This window comes from Homo sapiens, chromosome 6 (genome assembly GCF_000001405.40).
Source record: "Homo sapiens chromosome 6, GRCh38.p14 Primary Assembly".
Taxonomy (NCBI): Eukaryota; Metazoa; Chordata; class Mammalia; order Primates; family Hominidae; genus Homo; species Homo sapiens.
Genome location: NC_000006.12, coordinates 53,126,079 through 53,149,061, shown reverse-complemented (window position 1 = coordinate 53,149,061; position 22,983 = coordinate 53,126,079). Strand labels below are relative to the sequence as shown.

At 42.2% G+C, this 22,983-nt stretch overlaps 1 protein-coding gene and 1 pseudogene across 1 annotated transcript; both read left to right on the top strand.

Annotated features, from left to right (window-relative positions):
- The first annotated feature begins 220 nt into the window (after nucleotides 1-220).
- GCM1 (glial cells missing transcription factor 1) lies at nucleotides 221-22,101 on the top strand. Its single transcript, NM_003643.4, has 6 exons — nucleotides 221-308; nucleotides 3,294-3,504; nucleotides 14,738-14,990; nucleotides 16,943-17,055; nucleotides 18,131-18,259; nucleotides 20,116-22,101. The coding sequence occupies exons 2-6, from the start codon at nucleotides 3,430-3,432 to the stop codon at nucleotides 20,854-20,856; spliced, it is 1,311 nt and encodes a 436-aa protein (NP_003634.2). The 5' UTR covers nucleotides 221-308; nucleotides 3,294-3,429; the 3' UTR covers nucleotides 20,857-22,101.
- Nucleotides 1,133-1,233, top strand: LOC124901513 (uncharacterized; annotated as a pseudogene).
- Nucleotides 22,102-22,983: the final 882 nt, after the last annotated feature.

The window sequence follows — 22,983 nt, the reverse complement described above, 5'->3', positions numbered from 1 at the left end:
GTTCAAATGTCCTCATAACATAAAGGGAGGGGGAAGTTCAGAGACACATCATAGAATATTCATCACATTGCTGGCATTCTGGGAAGAATCAGGCTGGTTAAGTGACTCCCAGGCTGCTCTTACCTATCCAGAGCCTAGAGCATCTAGATTTTGATTGGACCATTGCCAGAACTCATTAGCATAGTGTACCCTGACCTGGAATAGGGAACAGCGTCTGCTCAGAAAATGACCAGAGCCTGCTGGGACTTGAACCAGCAGTAAGATTTTCACGACACAGTGCTGTCTGCTTCTCCGTAAGAAGTTAGAAGGTAAGAAAGCCAGAAATCCCGTGGAGAGGCAAATGTAAGGGATGTGGCAACGACCACTCTATTCCTACAGGGTTTCATTTGTTCTAGTTCATTTTTCTGTAGAAATGATGAAAATTGAATATACTTTGCGCAAGTTGCTTTAAAAAAAGGAGTCTTGACAAGTGTAGTTTTTCAATCCTAGAAGAGGAAAACAGAGTTTACTTAAGGGCTGTAAAATGGTTTTTTCTTCTTTTCTATGTTTTGTTCTTAACTTTTAGGGAAATATTAAATTAATGCTCATTCGCTTAGCAAATGTTAATATCGAGAGAAAAATCTAAAATGTAACATAGTTGTTCTGTAATAAAATTTTCTTTATTATTCTTCCCTTAATTTAAAAACAAAATAATTATGTCTATATTGCCTAGGCTTTATAACAATGTTTTTGATTTTTGAAAATATGAATCTTATTTGCCAAGGTTTTTAAAAAGTAGATCTATTCCAATTAGTTATAACAAAATTTGCACCATCAGAGACAATATCGTTACTGTTCAGGGTAAGTACACGGAACTGCTGCTTGGTATCTGCATCTTCTATACCTGTTATTTAAGTCCTTTGAATTAGAGTCAATTTGCGGCATCATTTCTTCAGTAACACAATGTTTCTTTCCTAAACATAGAATTTTACTTAAAATCCATGAGGATTTAGTCTTGAAAATCAACATTCAGTTGGGGAACAGAAACTTCGTGCTCTGCAACCACTAGGTTGTAGCTCAGTATGGGTATGTGGAACAGACAGGAAGAGACTCTGATTAGCTTGTCATTTAATGGTCAAGAACTTTATTTATAAAGACTATACTTTCAGGGATCATTTCTATAGTTTGTTACTAGAGAAATTTCTCTGGACATCTAGAGCACACACAAAAAAGAAAAAAGGAACTTCATTCTTATGTTCAGGTCAACGGTCTTTTATATACATACACTTTCCCTTGGTAGAGTTCAGTGATTGACAAGTATTAGGATTATATAACACTAAATAACTAAAGAACAGGCCGGGCACAGTGGCTCATGCCTGTAATCCCAGCACTTTGGGAGACAGAGACGTATGGATCACCTGAGGAAAGGAGTTCAAGACCGGCCTGGTCAACATGGTGAAACCCCATCTCTACTGAAAATACAAAAATTAGCTGGGTGTGGTGGTGCGTGCCTGTAATCCCAGCTACTTGGGAGGCTGAGGTAAAAGAATCACTGGAGCCCCAGAGGTGGAGGCTATGGTGAGCTGAGATTGCGCCACTGCACTCCAGCCTGGGTGATAAGAGTAAGACTCCATTAAAAAAAAAAAAAAAAAAAAAACAATAAAAACTAAAGAAAAGAGTTCATGGGTCTCGCCAAAGCTTAGACTATTAATCTACCTTATAGTTTGAGTTCGCTATTAAATAGCTCTACATAACATCATTATGTCTCTTGTTTTTATAAGAGTACCAATAAATGAAATGTTATACATGTGAACATGTTTCACTTCATATCGTACTAACAAGTAGCTTTCATCTGCAAAATTATTCATTTTTTTCCTCAGGGTAGAACACTTCAAATTTTCTTTCTTTTTTTCTTGGTAAACCTCCTTTAACCAATTATAGTTAGAAATTAGAGCACTATTTCTCGTGAGGGAAGAAATGCCATTTGAACAAACTTTTATTTATTCATTCATTTATTTATTTATTCATTCATTCATTTATTTATTTTTTGAGACAAGGTCTCACTCTGTCACCCAGGCTGGCATGCAGTGACACAATCTTGGCTCACTGCAGCCTCAACCTCCTGGGCTCGGGTAATCCTCCACCTCAGCCTCCCAAAGTAGCTGGGACTACAGGTGTGCACCACCATGCCCAGCTAGTGATTTGTACTTCTTGTATAAACACGGTTTCTGCATGTTTCTCAGGCTGGTCTTGAACTCATAGACTTAAGTGATACATGTGTCTTGGCCTCCCAAAGTATTGGGATTACAGGCTGCTAGCACCTAATGGGTAGAGACCAGGGATGCTGCCAAACAGTCTACAACATGAAAAAAGCTCCCCACAACAAAGAATTATCTGGTCCAAAATGTCAATAGTGCCAAACTTAAGAAACCCTGTTTCAGATTAATCAGATATAAGCATATTAGTTGATAATATTTGAAGATATATCGTGCGCACAGGATTTATTGCAGAGACCAAACCTAATCCTTACAGTGATTTGGATTTTCAAATATATTTTTTTTCTGGCCGGGTGCGGTGGCTCACGCCTGTAATCCCAACACTTTGGGAGTCCGAGGCGGGTAGATCACTTGAGGTCAGGAGTTCGAGACCAGGCTGGCCAGCAGAGTGAAACCCCATCTCTACTAAAAATACAAAAATCAGCTGTGCGTGGTGGCACATGCCTGTAATCCCAGCTACTGGGGAGGCTGAGGCAGGAGAGTTGCTTGAACCCAAGAGGCAGAGGTTGCAGTAAGCCGAGATCACTCCATTGCACTCCAGCCTGGGTGAAGAAGTGAGACTCCATCTCAAAAAAAAAAAAAAAAAAAAATATATATATATATATATATATAAAACATATATGTATTTTCCTAGATAAATTCAGTGTGATGTTCCCCTCTTGCAGCTTCAACCACACATTAGCTAATTTATAAAGGCATTTCTATGGAAACAACTCCAAGCCAGTATCCTCCTGCCCTAGCAGGAAAAGTCCTAGCCATTGGTTACAGATGACAACTGTCTCTGCTAAGGCCTTCACAACCTGGATCTTGCAATGAGAAAGCAAGCCCAAACCCAAGGGTGAAAGCAGTGATCACACGCTTCTAATTCCCGATGGCCAAGTTTTAAGTAAAATCACTTATGGCTCCTATGTTTTGTTTTTTACTAGTATGTTGGTACTTGCAAAAATGTCAGTGAAACAGGTTTTTCTGGCAGAGGAGCATTGGGGTTTTTTTTTAAATCTCTTTAATGGCCAATACTAATATAACTTATTTTTTTAGCCCTAGAAAACAATCTCCTGGTCCAAGGTGCTTGAGTGGGCCGATCCAGCTATATCAAGAACCTTTGAGAACAAAATTCTCAAGCATTTCTGAGGGGAGTCGAATAGGTGAAAACCTTGGCTGGCCTGACCTTATCATGGAACCTGACGACTTTGATTCTGAAGACAAAGAGATATTAAGCTGGGATATTAATGATGTGAAACTGCCACAGGTATGTACTTGCTATAAAAATCTGCCTTCAACATTGGGCTGTGAAGTCTTGACTATTAACATGCGGAGACCTGGAAGGAAATTGGTGAGGATTCCAGCTGGGTAAATTCCTCTCCCCTAGAGTTTCAGCTAGACAGCCGACTGAGGGATTTTAAGAAGAGATGGCAAGACCTATGATTTGAGTGTGTCTTTACTTACCAGACTCCCACACTTAGAGACTGATGCAAAGAAATTTCTACTTCCCTTCTCTTTCAAAGTTGGCGTAACTCAGGTTGCACTCACTCTGGCTAGACAGTATGATAAAATCCGTGATGATTTATTTGGCCATAAATTGACTCTTTGTTATGCACAAGTCCTCATACAACCTTATTTGCTATAGTGATAGTTTTAACTCAGATTCATGTCTAAATGGAATGTGCTGGAATCCAGATGATATTGTTCTCTTGTGGAATACAGCATGCTCTTCTTCCTTTTTTCTTTTTCCTCTTCTTTCTTCCCTTTCCTTCGCCTTGCCTTGCCTTCCTGCCTTCTTCCTTTTTTCTTTCTTTCTTTTTTTCTTTCTTTCTCTCTCTCTTTCTTTTCATTTTCTTTCTTTCTTTCTTTTCTTTTCTTTCTTCTTCCTCTACTTTTTTTTTTTTTTTTTTGAGGTAGGGTCTGGCTCTGTCAACTAGGTTGGAGTGCAGTAGTGCTATCTCAGCTTACTACAGCCTCAGCCTCCCGAGTTCAAGTGATTCTCTCACCTCAACCTCCCAAGTAGCTGGGACCATAGGCACACGCCAACAAGCCCAGCTAATTTTTGTATTTTTTGTAGAGATGGGGTTTTGCCATGTTGCCCGGGCTGGTCTTGAACTCCTGGGCTCAAGTGATCTCCCTGCCTACCTGGGACCACAGGCACACCCAGCTAATTTTTGTACTTGTGTGTGTGTGTGTGTAGAGTCAGGGCTTTGCTATGTTGCCCAGGCTGGTCCTGAACTCCTGGGCTCAAGCAATCACTCGCTTCTGCCTCCCAAAGTGCTGGGATTACAGGCATAAACAGCCTGGCCTCTTCTCCTCCTATTTTGGAAATACCATACATGCACTGAAATAGTGACTTCATTTCACATTTTCTTTGGCAACTGACTTTTTTTTTTTTTTTTTAGATGGGTTTGCCTGGTCTCCTGGGCCAGAGTGCAGTGATACCATCATAGCTCACTGCAGTTTCAATTTCCTGGGCTCAAGTGATCCTCCTGCCTCAGCCTCCTTAGAAGCTGAGACCACAGGCATGTGCCACCACTCCTGGCTAATTGAAAAAAAAATGTTTTTGAGAGGAGGGTCTCACAATGTTGCCCAAGTTGGTCTCAAACTACTGGCCACGAACAACCCTTCCGTCTCACCTTCTCAAGTAGCTGGAATTATAGGCACACATTGGTTGTTGAATACTGATTTTCAACATGTATCACTGTTTACTTCTTTGACTTCCTTTGTTAACATTTAAGATGCTCTCACTAGAAGTTGTTTGAAAAGGTGACTAGAAGGCTAGGACTGGACACCACCAGTACCAAGTCATGAAAAAGTCAATCCAGTCTGCCTGATTCTGGGTAATAAGGAATTTGAGTTATCAGAAGCAGGGGAGAGGGAATAGAGATTCCTCTATCTTTGTAACTGTTCCAGAATTTCTAACGAAGACTTCCTTTTGTTTCTCTTTATGCTTTTCCTTAACTTCCAACCCCACCCCCTCTACCCCTCTCACCACCCCCGACCCCACATCTGTATCCTCTCTTCGTAGATCTTGGGACAGAGCTGGAGAACAGAAAGTGTGCCCCACTTTCCATCCATTTACAAATGGTTCTAGAAACCACAGTTAAATCATGCAAATATCGATTTTAGGGATTTGTGTTTGTTGTTGCTCTTAATTAGTATTACAATTATTGTCACTGTTGTAGGGAAACTTTAAAGTAAACTTTAATTTCTCTTGGCTCCAGGACCCATATTTTCACCTTTTTCTAACTTCATGATTGCAACACCCAAATAGAAGTTGGAGAGACACGAAATCAAGAGTTGAAGTAAACAGATATGTAGAAGACTTTACAATGTCACATTCTAGAGCAAGAGTTTTAGTGAGTTTGAGAACCCCATGAAATGGTGGTGACACTGTGTCTTAACTGGCAATTTTTTCTGGGACAGGATTCTTCATCAGATCCATAAACAAGAGATGAAGACCTCTTTCCTATAGGGAAACTTGAGGCTCATAAAAGTTCATGTTCCAACATGAATTTCCAAAAATGAAAGTGTTTGCAGCTACCCATGACATTAAACTGAGAAATGTATAGCAAAAAATGCACATTTGGTTTTAGAAATGTATTTATAGTTCATTAAAAAGTACTAAGATTGCTCACGGAAATAGCTGTCTTCCAATTTGTTAAATATGTCGGGGAAATGATTTAAAATGCAAATATTCCTTAGTATTTTCTGAGTAGAGAGAATACCATCCTCGTCTGGGTTTAATGCTAGCTTTGTCATCAGACCAAGAAACACTTGAGCTCTTGGAAAGATTTCCAGACATTAGATTTTATATTGTTTATATTGTGTGAGCATATCCAGAGACAGAGGGGTGTATTATGAAAAGTACAGGACTTGGAGAAAAATGCCCCAGATTTGAATTCTAGTTCCATCTCCTTTTTTTTTTTTTTTTTTTTTTTTTTTTTTTTTGGAGATCCTTGAGTTGTTTACCTTTTCTGAAACTTCCTTTCCTCTCTGAAAATGAGGGGGTTGCGCCAAATGGTCTGGTATGTACCTATTAGTTCTAATAGTCTAGAATTCTAGAAATGTCAGCCTTGTGCCTAGCACAGTGCCTGACGTGTATGAAACAACAAATGTTGAATATGGAATTCATTAATGAATGGCTCCATTGTTTAGAATCTGTGTGAGCCTGGAGAAATTGATTTTCTTAAGTCTTAGTTACCTCCTGTAGAATGAAAATAGGAATTCTCCACATATCCTGCCTCAGTCTCTAAGATGTTTAGAATAGTGTTCCCTAAATATATTCTGTAGAGTACAAGTTACATGGAATTTTAATAGGTACTGTGAAGAAAGAAAAAGAGCAATACGAAGTTCAACAAGGATAAACAGATTTCTTGACTGCAGGCTTGGAGTCTTTTTCACCATCCTGTGCATTGGTGGCTCTCCGAAGGAGGCTGTATTAGGCAGTATTACCCCAACTTATTTTTGACCATGAAACTTTTTTCCTGAAGCCCTTCAGGGGTTGATGTTCCCCAGACTACCTTTTTTGGCATTTAACAAATGTGGTTTAAAGGATCAAATGCAATGGCTTGTTATGATTATAAATTTCTCTAATTTCACTCTCTGTCCCATCGATCTAGATCATTTATAGTTTATATTTCATAATTTTATATTCTTGCCAGAATTATTAGTTATACAACACGTAGGAAAATTCCTTTTCTGTTTATCCTTTCACATGCTTCAAGTTTCAAGTTTCTTTCTCTCTCCTTCCTTCCTTCTTTCTTTCTTTTTCTTTCTGTTTTTTTTTTTTTTTTTTTTTTTTTTTTTTTTTTTTTTTTTCAGGGTCTCACTCTCATTACCCAAGCTGGAGTGCAGTGGCGCAATCATAGCTCACCACAGCCTTGAATTCCCGGGCTTAGGTGATTCTCTCAACCCAGCCTCTAGAATAGTGGGGACTACAGGCGTGCACCCCACACCCAACTAATTATTTGTCTTTTTAGTAGAGATGGGGTTTTGCCATGTTGCCCAGGCTGGTCTCGAACCCCAGGACTCAAGAGTTCTGCCCACCTTGGCCTCCCAAAATACTAGGATCACAGGCATGAACCATTGCACCCGGGCTTCAAGTTTCTTTCTTTCTTTCTTTCTTTCTTTTTCAGACAGAGTCTCGCTCTGCTGCCCAGGCTGGAGTGCAGTAGCACTATCTCGGCTCACTGCAAGCTCCACCTCCCGGGTTCACACCATTCTCCTGCCTCAGCCTCCCAAGTAGCTGGGACTACTTGCACCTGCCACCGTGTCCGGCTAATTTTTTGTATTTTTAGTAGAGACAGGGTTTCACCGTGTTAGCCAGGATGGTCTCGATCTCCCGACCTCGTGATCCACCCACCTTGGCCTCCCAAAGTGCTGGGATTACAGGTGTGAGCCACCGCACCCGGCCCTTCAAGTTTCAAAATGATTACCCAAATACCAGTTGCATCTTCTGGTCTGAGAAACTCCATGTGTCTTTAACTAGTTCAGATACATCAAGGTTTATGGGTTAATTTTGACAACAGTGAGCAGTGATGTCCTTACTAAGATATCAGACATTTTTGAGAAACTTAAATGCAGGAGACACTGTAGTAGGCTCAGGGATACTGGGGCCATTAAGCTATGTTAACTTCTGTGGAAATGCTCATGATCTTCTGGGCTAGTGGAACAAGATTACTGCCTAAATAGAGAATCAATGCCATGTAGAAAAATGCTAGAGGAGTTTGAAAGGAGTGTGCAGTTCAACATGACTCTGGCATGGGGAGCAAGGCCAGAAGAGTTTGTGTAAGGTTAGAGGAAAAAAAAATTAGATCAACCATCTATTATTTATGTCATTATTTGTACTTGGAAAGGTGAAATCTAATTGCTTTAAGGTTTGCTTGATCCAAGCAGCAAAAGTCTGGTGTTGATTTAGTCTTGATTTAAAATGTGGATTACATGGTCCTGGAGAGTGTCACACTCTCATTAGTACTGATTGTAATACTTGAGAGAACTTTGAATCTCTAAGAATTATTTTCTTCTGGTTGAAAATTGGGAAGAAATTCAGTTCCTTTTTCTCTTAAATAGTACCCATTTCACTAGCAAGAGGAGAATATCCACTCTGTTTCAAATACCAGCCAGTTTCTCTCAGTTCAGGTTGTGCCAATAGCACCACAGCCAGCAAACACCCTGGATCATTTTGTTCCTACACACTGAGCAGTTTGCAAATTAAACCCATGGCCAAAGCCACCCCAAGCCATTAACTCACAAAATTACAAGGTTTAAGTACTTTTTTTTTTTTTTTTTGGTAGAGAGAACATTCTCTAGTATAGAATAGTAAAGTCAACTGCAAAGGGGCCACAGTTCTGATTAGTTCATTCCTGGACTATGATTTTAGCCAGCCAAACTTCCTTTGTCTCTGCAAAAGATAAGCCCCAAATTGTGATCAAACATGAATATTTGAGCTCTCTCTGTGAATCCATGTGGCCACATGTAATCAGAACAAGCCAGTTGTAGTACTCAGATGTGTCTTGGTGCTAGGGAGCTAACAGGTAAACCAGATTGTGGATTTCTTGTCAATTATTATCCCCTGTATGAGCAGGTCACGTTGTCATTGTTCTGATGGGGATTCCTGTGACTTTGCCCCCTTTGCCAGACATTCTCCTTGACCTCAAGGGTCATTTGAACTTCCCTGAGAGCTCTACCTATATGGGCTCCCATGATCACTGGGGCCTCTGCTATTTGGACCAGAATTCTTCTGCCACTCTGTGCTTCTGGTGTGATACAGATAGGAGCATTATTGCATCTGCTGGTACCCTGCAGCAGGTCCCTTGCTTAGCTGGGTGGAGGGAAAAGGGAAGCGAAAAGAGAAGACAGACGGGGTTTGAAAGCTGAGGTAACTTGGCATAACTTAGTGTTTTCAGAGTAAATAAGGAACTTTGTCCTGAGTCTTATTTTATTTATTTATTTATTTTTTTAGACGGAGTCTCACTCTGTCGCCCAGGCTGGAGTGCAATGGTGTGATCCCAGCTCACTGCAACCTCTGCCTCCCGGGTTCAAGCGATTCTCCTGTCTCAGCCTCCCGTGTAGCTGGGACTACAGGCATGTGCCACCATGGCTGGCTAATTTTTGGTATTTTTAGTAGAGATGGGGTTTCAAGATCAGGATGTTCTTGATCTCCTGACCTCGTGATCTGCCCACCTCAGCTTCCCAAAGTGCCGGGATTACAGGCCTGAGCCACCGCGCCTGGCCTGTCCTGAGTCTTGATCTCTTGACTAAGAAATACCAGGATTAGTCTAAAGAGTAATCAGTAATTCCCCCTTTTTTTTTTTTTTTTTTTTTGAGATGGGGGTCTTACTATCTTGCCTAGGCTGGTCTTGAACTCCCGAGCTCAAGCAACCTTCTGCCTTAGCCTACTGGGTAGCTGGGATTACAGACATTCCCCACCATGCCTGCCCTAAGGAGTAATTCTTGAACAAACACAAAAGCATTTTGTTGAATTCAATTTTTTTCCTTGGTAACACTTGGAGTTTTATTTCCAGTTGGCCCAGAAGAGATAAGTTCCTGAAAAGTTGTATGTAAATCAAAACATTGGTTGAAGGTTTTTTTTCCTGTTTTCCATAATATCTGATTTTTGTACCTCTATATAATTTGCTTTAAAGTATGTTTGTTTGATATTCCTGTTCTATTTAGAAATATTTATTTATAAGTAATGAATAAGCTATTTATATAATTAATGAAAACCTGGAAGATATTTACTTTATGCAAGAGCAGACTATATTCCAAAAGAAAATCAATTTCATAATATGATCATATGATAATGTAGATATTTTTGATACTTTATTTCAGAATTTGTATTTTAATTGATTAGTTTTATATAACAATACATACTTCATTTCTTCAGATAACCTCTGAAAACTTCAAGTAGTTGAATAAGTTAGAATGAGGTGAGTATGAAGGGTGTTCTAGAAGTGCATAGAGCTACAAAAATTTTGATTGAGTTAGAGGATTAAATCTGTTAGTAAAAAATTATACCCAGAAGTCATAGAAATATCAGTTAACCCCCCAGTGATGTTACCCAGGAGATAATCAAATACAAATTAGCTAGGTCTACATGTTGGAAACCTCAGAAATATTCCCTTTCAATTATAAACTTCTTAACTAAGAGGAAAAACAAAGAGTTACTCATGAAAAGTTAGAAATTAAAACAAACAAAGGATCTAAAAAGAAGAAAGTATTTTGTGGGGATTCGCTAAACATGATGAAGAAATGATTATTGTTTCTTATTAAATTTTACTTCTCTGAGGTCTTGGTTTAACAGGTTTCAGAAATCACAGTCATCCATCTGACACTTGGGTTCCTCTGCATTATTGAGATCTGGGTTTTCTCTTAATTTCAGTGTAAAAAGACATCAAAGACCCTACTAAATGTCCAGGTCAAAGACTAGGCATGAATAAATGGCCCAGAGACTAGCTTGATGTGAGTATATTTACTCCTAGTAATGTTCTCAGTCCATACGTTGTCCAAATTATTACTGCTTTTTTTTTTTTTTTTTTTTTGAGACAAAGCACTCTGTCACCCAAGCTGGAGTGCAGCGGCATGATCTCGGCTCACTGCAATCTCTGCCTCCCAGGTTCAAGCGATTCTTTTGCCTCAGCCTCCTGAGTAACTGGGATAACAGGCATGTGCCACCATGCCTGGCTAATTTTTGTATTTTTGATAGAGATGGGGTTTCGCCATGTTAGCCAGTCTGGTCTTGAACTCCTGGCTTCAAGTGATCCACCCACCTTGGCCTCCCAAAGTGCTGGGATTACAGGGGTGAGCCACTGCACCTGGCCATTACTGCATTATTAATAGAACTGGAAAACTAAGGTACCAGTGGAGGGACTGTCAGAAAAAAGCTTAAAGGATGATAAAGATCATCTCTTCCTCTACAGGCAAGGAGTCTTTGCTTTAATCAGAACATCTGAGATGTTCTCACAAATACATTCCGCTCCTTCTGGTTCATGGGATCTATGGCTCTGACCAGCCTAAAGTGGCCACTCACCTTTAAAGCATGAAAATCTCAGCTTTCCTCTAAGTCTACCTTGCCCTCATCTCTGCTATCCTGACAACTGTGTTTTATACTGGAATAATTCAAGTGCACCAGTAGTTTTTTACAGTCCAATATTAGAGGAAAGTACACTCAAATTTTGTTTTGTTTTGTTTTTTTAGTAGAGACGTGGTCTCACTGTGTTGCCCAGGCTGGTCTTGAACTCCTGGACTCAAGCAATCCTCCAGCCTTGGCCTCCCAAAGTGCTGGGATTACAGGTGTGAGCCGCTATTCCTGGCCAAAAGTAGACATTTTAATGTTTTAACCTACATTATTATTTCAAAAGATAAAATACTCTATTATGCTTTCTATGGCATTTCTGTGACAGAAAACAAGACATCATTGTTTGCAGCTTTGGGCCAGAAGAAGGAAGGAAGGAAGGGAAGAGAAGGTGGGTGGAGAGAGCAGGAGGCATGCTGCCTGGGGAGCTTCTCTCACCCCGGGCATTGAGTCTCAGCAAGCCCAAAATTACCAGAGAATTGGGGAGGAGAGGGACAGTCTGGAAAAAGCAAATGGTCCAACCAGCATCCTGGCCTGGCCATCCGGGAATCTCTGCTGCAGCTGCCTGATGGACCACAGGGAACTTTTCCAGATGCCACCCTCCTATTATTTATACCCTTCCCCCTTCCCAAACCACAGTAGTTACAGCATAGCACACAAAGGGCTAGCCACTGTCATGCCCTGAGAAGGAAGGTTGTGGAACAAGAGGTGCACCAATTAAGCTTTTATTTTATAGGGACTTGGACTCTTTTTTCTTTTTTTTTTTATTGAAACAGAGTTTCACTCTTGTCGCCCAGGCTGGAGTGCAGTGGCATGATCTTGGCTCACTGCAACCTCCACCTCCCAGGTTCAAGAGATTCTCCTGTCTCGGCCTCCCAAGAAGCAAGGATTACTGGTGCCCGCCACCACACCTGGCTAATTTTTTGTATTTTTAGTAGAGACGGGGTTTTGCCATGTTGGGCAGGCTGGTCTCGAACTCCTGACCTCAGGTGATCCACCTGCCTCAGCCTCCCAACGTGCTGGGATTACAGGTGTGAGCCACTGCACCCAGCTGGGACTTGGACTCTTATCTTGCATTTGGCTTGGCAAGGTATGAAGCATGAAGTGACCTCTACTGGGTCTTCTCTCTCCCAAAAGCCAGTGACTCTTACAACCACATTGACTGGCTGAGGGCAGTTCCAGATCTGGTAGAATAACAGTTAACATTGAGGTGGAACCTGCTGCGTGTGAGGCACTATTTTAAGTGCATTGTGTATGTTAATTTAGTAAGTCCTCAAAACCTCCCTGTGGGGTACTCCTGTTACCCCATTTTACAGAGCAGGAAACAGAGGCACTGAGAAGAAAAGAATGTCATTAAGACTCATATCCAGAAAGACAGTGTACCTCCAGAGTCCAAGCTTACAGCCAGCAATCTCAGACTGTTTGTGAAGAGTCAGATAGTAAATATTGTAGTCTTTGTGGGCCATACAGTCTCTGCTGCGGTGGTGTAAAAACATCCATAGACAACACTTCAGTTAATGAACATAGATGTGTTCCTATAAAACTTTATTTACAAAAGCAGGCAATGGGCAGGATTTGGCCCATGGGCCCTAGTTTGCACACTGCAGCTCTTAACCACTAAACAGTACTACCCTGCATGTACCTAAAACCTCTCATTTATATTTCCTCAGACCACCTCAGGCCCCATGACATTCCATTCAACAAGTATCGTTATATGGAATCTATAGTTTACAACACATCTGCTCTTCACAGCACTTTTGTGAGGCAGTTTTAATCAATGTTTCAGTTTTAGAGAAGAGCAAAACAGGCTTTAAAGACAAAGTTACTTGCCCAGAGTCTCAAGTTACAAAGTTCTTTGGCACGTTCTAAATTTGAATTCTAACTCAGTAAATGCCCGTCAATCCTGACACTGACATTTACTTTTTTCTTCTAAAATTTGTCTTTTTTTTATGTTGTGGGCTGTGCTTTCTGGTTGGGAAAGCAAAGAAGAAGCAGCCTAGTCTTTTCTTCTGGACCTTCTAGAATCTTCTATTTTCACCTTCTAGAACCGTCTAGATGAAAAATGTTCTTACACCATGCTAAGTCTCTGAAAGCCGTAGGGCATGGGCACAGCCTAAGTTTGAGTGCTGACACTGCTTGCTGTTTCTCATTCTAAGAACAAGGAAGGGTCTGTCAAATGCAGCATCTGTGCACCAATGTAGGGCCTAGGAATATGAGCCACAGCATCAGTGACTAACAATTATTTAGAGCTTACAGCATGCTAGGTGCTGTGCTAAGTATTTAATATATATAATCATATTTAATCTTCAGAACAACTCTTCAGGTAGGCAGGTCTCATTATCCCTACATTACAGATGAAGAAACAGAGGCACAGAGAGCAAAATAATGTATGCTATAAGGACTGAGTGTCTGGTGTCCCTGGCCTTTCTTTAATTATTATTTTATTTTGGTCAAAAACACAACTTAAAATTTACCATCTTAACCATGTTTAAGTGCATAGTACAGTCGTGGTAACTATATGTACACTGTTGTGCAAAGGAGCTCTAGAACCTTTTCATCTTGCAAATGGAAACTTTGTCCGTTGAATGACAACTCTCCTTGTCTGTGATGTTTTAAAGGAGAGTTTAGTCAAATGTTCATACACAGGGCATAGCGCCAATCCTGGGCAATAACAGAGACGCTTTCAGTCAAAACAAGCTCTTTCTTACTCCCTTGTCATGTTTGAGGCACGTGAACGTAGGGTTAAAGATAAAGGAAGAAAATCTCTGGGGAAGAAAGTGGCTCTTTGATCTCTCTGAACCAGGGCTTTTCATCCCTCCCACTGCTTATCTCTGGCGACATTGCATAAACCTGTGTGACTCCCAGTAAGATAACCACAGAGTGGTACGAGACATTATCTCACTATCCCGCCACAATGTTTTCCACAGTTTATTTTGAGTTTTTAGAGAAGGGGTCTTGCTGTGTTGCCCAGGCTGGTCTTGAACCCCTGGCCTCAAGCCATCCTCCCACCTCAGCCTCCTGAGTTGCTAGGACTGCAGGCACACCCTACCACACTGGGCCCTGTTTTCTATAGTTATTGTGTAAGAGCATAGCATTACTTAACCTTCAAAAATTCCTACTGAGAAATGGTCATTTCTTGTGTCACTGAGGGCTAGGGAAGTGTCAATCAGATGGAACTCACAGGGGCTATCATTTATTTTGGTCCAGCGGCTGAATGCCTGACAGACACAGCACTCAGTTGCCACTGTTGTGCTGGGCTCGCTGATCCCACTGTCAGAATTAAATGTAGGGAGGCTTTTGCCAAAGGTCTCTTGCCCAGCTCCTGAATGCCAAAACATCCTTCCTATCTACTCACTCCACAGTGGGTGACAGCTGTGTTTTCTAGCTTAAAGTATAGTCGTATCTTTTGTGTTTCTATCAGAACGTGAAAAAAACCGACTGGTTCCAGGAGTGGCCAGATTCCTATGCCAAACACATCTACAGCTCGGAGGACAAGAATGCGCAGCGGCACCTGAGCAGCTGGGCCATGCGCAATACCAACAACCACAACTCCCGCATCCTCAAGAAGTCCTGCCTGGGTGTGGTGGTGTGCGGCCGCGACTGTCTCGCAGAGGAGGGGCGCAAGATCTACCTGAGACCTGCCATCTGTGACAAGGCCCGGCAGAAGCAGCAGCGTGAGTAGAGCTTAGTGGCACCAGCAAAAAAGCTGGCATCCCTCAGATGCCCCTGCCAGATGGGTCACTGTGTCCCAGCACCGCCCAAGGGCAAAACCATCACCCTGGAGTGTAGTGGCAGCCAAGGCTGTTCTGACATGGAGCATATGGAGCGGAACCAACCAGATCCCTTGTGCTCCAGCAAGGACCCCACATATCTGCCATACCCAGAGCACCCACCATCAAAAATGCCTCCTTGGGTTAAGGCACTGGACTGAAGGCTCCTGTTAAAGGGAAGATGGCAGGTGTGGTGGCTCACACCTGTAATCTCAGCACTTTGGGAGGCCAAGATGAGAGGATAAATTGAGGCCAGGTGTTCCAGACCAGCCGGGGCAACATAAGAAGACCCCAACCCCTACAAAAAAATTTAAAAATTAGTCGGGTGTGGTTGCATATGCCTGTGGTCACAGCTACTCCAGAGGCTGAGGCAGAAGGATTGCTTCAGCCTGGAAAGTCAAGGCTGCAGTGAGCCATAATGGAGCCACTGCACTCCAGGCCGCACAATAGAGTGAGATCCTATCTCCAAAAAGAAAGGAAAAATGGCCGGGCACTGTGGCTCATGCCTACAATCCCAGCACTTTGGGAGGCTGAGGTAGGCAGATCACCTGAGGTCAGGAGTTCAAGACCAGCCTGCCCAATATGGTGAAGACCCATCTCTACTAAAACACACAAACACACACACACACACACACACACACACATTTGCCGGGTGTGGTGGTGTGTGCCTGTAATCCCAGCTACTCGGGAGGCTGAGGCAGGAGAATCACTCGAACCCAGAAGGTGGAGGTTGCAGTGGGCCAATGTTGTGCCACTGCACTCCAGCCTGGGTGACAGACTCCATCCAAAAATAAAAGGAAAAATGTATCCCTTCAGGGGTTAATGTTAATTCATCAATGACCCATGTAAAATTTAGAAGAAAGTAGTTTATTGGACTTGCCACTGGACTTCTTGTGGGTCCCTAAGTGATCTCAATGTGTGCATTAATGTGGAGTGGCAGCTGTGAAAGGTTAGACTCAATTCCATTCATTTAGGTTCACATCATAATCACGTGCTGAGATATTTGTTCATTTTCTAAAACACATTCACTGGATTATGAAATAGATACATTCAGCATGCCCTGTACATTGCCCACTTCAAACCTCAAGTTACTTTATATTTTTCCCAGTAGTTTGTTTTAAAAACTTGCTCTTAGGTCAGGACCTGGTATCAGTCATTTACACCTCTGTGAAAATGTAGTAGCTGCATTCACTCTCCCATGTAGCTTGGCCCCTTGACCCTTAGTTCTAATTGTGAAGTGAAAGAACTTCTCTTTTTTATTTTTGAGACAGACTTTCACTCTGTCACCCAAGCTGGCATGCATTGGTGCCATCTCGGCTCACTGCAACCTCCACCTCCCAGGTTCAAGCGATTCTCCTGCCTCAGCCTCCCTAGTAGCTGGGACTACAGGTGTGCACCACCACGCCCAGCTAATTTTTGTATTTTTAGTAGAGATGGGATTTCACCATATTGGCCAGGCTAGTCTCGAGCTTCTGGCCTCAAGTGGATCCGCCTGCCTTGGCCTCCCAAAGTGCTGGGATTATGGGTGTGAGCCACTGTGCCTGGTCAGAATTTCAAATATCACTAAATAAGTAGGGAGGGGTTTTCTGCTCAGAAGAGCTCTGCCTTGACCTGTGAAATATCCTACTTGGTAGGCAACCACTTCCCCTATCCATGTGTGAGACCCATGTGGGCCATTTTAGTGGCCAGGCTTCTGAGGGTCAGGGGTAATATCTAGTGGATTTCAGCCCATGAAACTCTGCCCAGATTTATACTCTGCCGTCCTTGAGTCAGGGCTAAAATCTTCAAGACTGCACAGGAGTCAACAACCGACATGGTTCAGCCAGGTGTGGTCATTTTCCTCTGCTCTTTTGTAGGGAAACGCTGTCCCAACTGTGACGGGCCTCTGAAGCTCATCCCTTGCCGAGGTCATGGGGGCTTCCCGGTCACCAACTTCTGGAGGCACGACGGACGCTTTATATTTTTCCAGGTTGGATTTTTGAGTTAGTTACGTGAGAGTTTCATTACTGAGGAGTTTCACCAGAGGCTAGAAATGCACCTGTGAATGAGATCCTGCACCATCCCCGAGGGCTCACACTCTAAGAGAGCAAGTATCTGTCCCCTGCACTTCTAATAGATGTTTGAAGTGCTGGGGAGCTCTAGAAGGGGAGCTGCCTGTCTCTGCTTCTACTTCTCAGGAGAAGTGGCAGCTAATCTAGTCACACTGAGGTTAGCACAGTGCTTCTAAGCATGCCGCATGCTGCATGCTGCTGGTAGCCTTCAGCAAATCTGAGTTTGAACACCAGCTCTGACTTTTTACTCGGTCTTTAAACCTGAGCAGGTGATTTTCCTCTTCCACGTCCCAGTTTTCTGTAGAATGTGTAAGAGTACTAATGGGGCAGTGGCACCAACAGTGGTGAAGAATGGACCCTGACTCAGACTGCCTGGGTTTGAATTAGTGGGATGCTGGTAAACCAGCTCTCCAAAAAGAAAATGTCCTGATTTGTAGCATTTGCCAACTTCTGTAATGGAAATATTCTCACCGTGGCTGATTTCAAGCCAGCAGTCATTTTTAACAATCAGCCTACAAAATTCCTGAATGTTTAACTATTGACTCTCAGCTTTGGCCAGCTCCAGGTAGGGGAATCCTAGGTCCCTCACTTCTAGAGGAGGTTACCCAGCTGGCGTAATCACTCCATGCCTCAGTTTCCTGTTCTGTAAACTGGGGGTGATAATAATGGTGTGTACCTCAATGGTTGTGCTGAAGATGAAATGAGATATAAGGCACACAGGGTGTTTATTTGTGTCTGGCACATACCACAGGAAGCATTTAGTAAGTGTTACTTAGCACTGTGATTATGGCTTTGCTGGGTGGGTGAGAGGCAGGCAGGCAGGAGCATGGTGGGCTTGGGAGCGCCTTCAGAGGTTCATCCAGTCTGGTTACCATAGGCAACTGCAACACCACCCCCGGGGCAGGACACACAGTAAATAAAAACTGATACACCATGAAACACAGTCTAGTTAGTGTTATATCATTTCCTTTCTACTTCCTTGTCTCATTTAAGTCAAAGGGAGAGCATGATCATCCAAAACCAGAAACCAAGTTAGAAGCTGAGGCAAGAAGAGCCATGAAGAAAGTGAACACAGCACCTTCCTCCGTCTCATTGAGCCTGAAGGGGAGCACAGAGACCAGGGTAATCCTTCATTATGTATGTTCAATACATGCAGTAGCTTGCCACGCCTGTGCTGGGGGCGGTAGATTTCCTGGGTCCCTTGCTGACGCAGGAAAGCCAGAAATCATGGATTATCAGGCTCATCTACAAACAAGCATCTGCTAAAGAAATTAAATCTGAGGCTTTACTCTTACTTTCTACCATCTTTGTAGCATGCTGGGAACCATAAAGTCCATGTAATTGGAGAATCATCTTCCCTACTACAATTACAAAGAGAAACTTGAATTAGCACTTAACTTATATTTGGCAAGAACCAAAAACAATTGAAACAATCTCCACAAAATAGTAGCCTTATGCATTTCACCGCCTGCCCCCTCCCCGCCCTCCTGAATTTCCATACGTCCCCAAACAGATTGTTTTCTTAGCACACTCTACCAAGATGAAATAAGCAAGCAGTTTCCGAAAATGATAGCTGTCCCAGGGTGGCAATAGTGGAGTGGAGGCTACTCCCTATAGACAAACTGTGATGTGAAGTCCACTGCTTTATGGGCAGCAGATCATAGGTTTTTTTGCATTTGTCTGTTTAATATTGATAGTAGTTCCTATACTTTTTCTACTGTTCAAAGGTGCACATTTCTTTTTGGGAGAACAGAGATGGAACTGGTCCATCCCTAGAGGCTGTAAATGTACTTTATTTAAAAAAATTGTAATGTGGATCTGTTGTAGGGAAATGCAAGCCCCCCAAACCCAAATGGCTATTTCCTCATCCTTTCTCCCAGCCATGGGACAAGTCAAGTGGCATTTCAGTCTCTCATCCAATCTACCTGGTCACAGCCCTTTTTCTCTACCCCCTAAAAGTATCCCCTTAACAGCTAGTAGTTTTACCTAAACAAGAGCATAACTTAATTCTCAACCAGATCCTTTTTTTAACGATTAACTAAAGAACAATATACCTCCTCCATTTAGAAAAATAAATGAATGTACCACTCGTGTTCTAGAGGTCTGATTTATGGTTCAACAAAATTCCCACGAATTCAAAGAAAAATCTCTTGAGGAAAGGAAAAACTAAAAAACAATAGCAACCATGGTCTCTCACACTCCAACCAGCACTAAGAAATAGAATAGTCAAGGGAGGAAATGTTGAGAGACAGAGACCCTGGGAGTTGTGCTGAGTATAATATAAATCTTTGAAGTTATACTTTGATATTTTGTAAATAGTTCCTTATAAGTTTCTCAAAAAGGCAATTAGAGGCCAGGCACTGTGGCTTATGCCTCTAATCCCAGCACTTTGGGAGGCCAAGGCAGGTGGGTCACTTGAGGTCAGGAGTTCGAGACCAGCCTGGCCAACATGGCAAAACCCCATCTCTACTGAAAATACAAAAATTAGCTGGGCGTGGTGGCAGGCGCCTGTAATCCCAGCTATTGAGAGGCTGAGACATGAGAATTGCTTGAACCCGGGAGGCAGAGGTTGCAGTGAGCCAAGATCGTGCCACTGCGCTCCAGCCTGGCTGGGCAACAGAGCGAGACTCCATCTCAAAAAAAAAAAAAAAAGAATAAATAAAAAGCAATTAGGATATCAGATTTGTGTTTGAGTGTGAAACATCTTAAACACACTCATGTCTCTACTGAATGTAGGGAAATTTGGCTCTTACTGGTTAGCAAGCTTTAACATGGAAACAGAGGCAGCCTTTGCTTTTTTCAAGTGTTTCGTGGTTGTGGTCAAGCCGCTGCATGTGTTTGTGCGTCAAGTATTAATGTGTAAGGAATGAGGAAAATCTGATGGAGCTCTTATTTGTACAGAGTAACTCATGGGTGCCTATGGCAGTGGTTTTGATTTGCTTAACTTATTAACACGAGCATTTCACTTTCCTTTCCAGTCTCTTCCAGGTGAAACACAAAGTCAGGGGAGTTTACCTTTAACTTGGTCTTTCCAGGAAGGCGTCCAATTGCCTGGTAGTTACAGTGGACATTTAATAGCTAACACTCCTCAGCAGAACTCACTAAATGATTGCTTTTCCTTCTCCAAGAGTTATGGTCTGGGAGGAATCACAGATCTGACTGACCAGACTTCCACTGTGGACCCCATGAAGCTCTATGAAAAGCGCAAATTGTCCAGTAGCAGAACCTACAGTAGTGGAGACCTGCTTCCTCCTTCTGCCTCCGGAGTCTACTCTGATCATGGCGATCTACAAGCGTGGAGTAAAAATGCTGCTTTGGGGAGAAATCATCTTGCTGACAACTGTTATTCCAATTATCCTTTTCCTCTGACCAGCTGGCCTTGCAGCTTCTCTCCTTCCCAAAACTCTTCAGAACCCTTTTACCAGCAGCTTCCATTGGAGCCACCTGCAGCCAAAACTGGCTGTCCCCCATTATGGCCAAATCCAGCGGGTAATCTTTATGAAGAGAAAGTACATGTGGATTTTAACAGCTACGTCCAGTCTCCTGCATACCATTCACCTCAAGAAGACCCCTTTCTCTTCACCTACGCCTCTCATCCTCATCAGCAATATTCACTGCCAAGCAAGAGCAGCAAATGGGATTTTGAGGAAGAAATGACATACTTGGGTTTGGATCACTGCAACAATGATATGCTTCTGAACCTGTGTCCTTTGAGATGACCCAAATCTTTCACTATGTGCACCCCAGCCCCTCAAAAATGGGGAAGGGCTGAAAGAATTTCCTTAGGAAATAATTTTTAAAACATAACCACAGATAAATGAGAATCATGATAAGCAGTAGACAAGGCTTTTTTCTTTTTCTTTTTTCCTTCTTTTTTTTTTTTTTTTTTTTTTTTTGAGACAGAGTCTTGCTCTTTTGCCCAGGCAGGAATGCAGTGGCGCCATCTCGGCTCACTGCAACCTCTGCCTCCCGGGTTTGAGTGATTCTCCTGCGTCAGCCTCCCGAGTAGCTGGGATTACAGGCACCTGCCACTGCGCCTGGCTAATTTTTCTATTTTTAGTAGAGACAGGGTTTTGCCATGTTGGTCAGGCTGCTCTCAAACTCCTGATCTCAAGTGATCTGCCCACCTCACCATCCCAAAGTGCTGGGATTACAGGCGTGAGCCATTGTGCCCGGCTGACAAGGCTTTTTTCTTCACATGAGTAATTTTTTTGGCTTCTTCTCCTCCACTCTAGTATTTCCACCCTCAGTAAGGAATGGAAACCTGTCCCGTCTGGGGTGTGAAGTGCCCTCTGCTTTTTCCCCCACATTGTTTGGGGTTCCCAGCACCTCAGCCACATTGCATGCTGGGTTTTCATTGTCATTGTTGCAAATGAAATGGAGTAGACATGTGAAATGCTAACCTATCTAGGACCTGATCTATGCCTTCTTGGGAACTGAGAATGAAGAAACAGAAATAGATGGTGGAAGAACTGCCTAAGGTGTGAAAAGCTGAAGATTCTACCACTGAAGTACTGAATATGTTGTCTAGTTGTGAGACTAGTGTGTAAAATATATGTTTTCTAGATGATTTCTGAGACTTGTGATGACAAGGAACCTGACCTAACCCCATTTTTCATAAAGACAAAGAACAGCAATGTTAAATTGCCATATGAAGAGAAACACTAGTGATGTGCGTGGTCTCCTTGCCTCTTGTTTCCTTCCCTCTTCCTCACTGACTTCCCCTTGCACAGGGGCTTCTGTTTTATCCCATTTATTATTTGTGGCACCTATATCAATGTGGGGTTTGTAATAGGTGAGAAATATTTGCTTGGAGAAGCTCTTGTGCAATTAGCCTGGCAATGATTGGCCGGCCATGTTTGAATGCCAGTTTCTCTTCTTTGCTGAAGTACTTTATGATAAAAGTAAGCCTAGACATAAAATCTGGAGAGAACCATGCAATAAACAAGTATTTTTGAAATAAATTATTCCTTCTCCTTTATTAGAATAGTAACAGATGCACATGATACAAAATTCAAAAGTGAAAAAAAAGAAGTCTCCTAGTTCTAGTCTCCCCTCTGCAACACTGACTAGTTTCTTGTCTATTATTCCAGATATTAGAAATGTTCTCTGCATATATATAATTATATGTAATGTGTATGAAATACATTACATAAAATACACACATATCTTTTATATATAAAATATATTTATATATATATATAAGAGAGAGATGACATAAGTGGTATCATATCAGATTCATTTCTAACATAGTTTTTGTCGTTTTAGGAGCCAATTTGAGCATTAAGTTCTTATAAGCATATAGGATCACAGCTGCTTCATTTTTAATGATGCATTATGCATTACATGACTATTATAATTAAATAGTCCCTATTGATAAACATTTAGATTTGTTCAAATCTTCTAAATTCATTTGTCTAAGTGACAAGACTATATATAAAACTTATATATTGGCCAGGCATGGTGGCTCACACGTGTAACCCCAGCACTTTTGGAGGCAAAGGCGGGTGGATCACTTGAGCCCAGGAGTTCAAGACCAGCCTGGGCAACATAGCGGGACCCCGTCTCTACCAAAAATTAAAAATTAGCTGGATGTCATCATGCATACCTGTAGTCTCAGCTACTTGGACCTGTAGTCTCAGCTACTTTGGAGGCAGGAGGATCACTTGAGTCAGGGAGGTCGATGCTTATCAAATCAGTGAGCCATGATTGTGCCACTGCATTCCAGCCTGGATGACAGAGTCTCAATCAATCAATCAATAAAAACCTTATATATTCAGTTTAGCAGAATTGTAAAGTGAATACTTGTGTAAACACTATCTGGACCAAGAAATAGGATCTACTGG

Coding starts and splice junctions, on each gene's coding strand:
- GCM1 (NM_003643.4), top strand. CDS start 3,430: ATGGAACCTGACGACTTTGATTCTGAAGACAAAGAGATATTAAGCTGG. Junction 14,991..16,942: donor GGCCCGGCAGAAGCAGCAGC/GTGAGTAGAGCT, acceptor GCTCTTTTGTAG/GGAAACGCTGTCCCAACTGT. Junction 17,056..18,130: donor GACGCTTTATATTTTTCCAG/GTTGGATTTTTG, acceptor GTCTCATTTAAG/TCAAAGGGAGAGCATGATCA.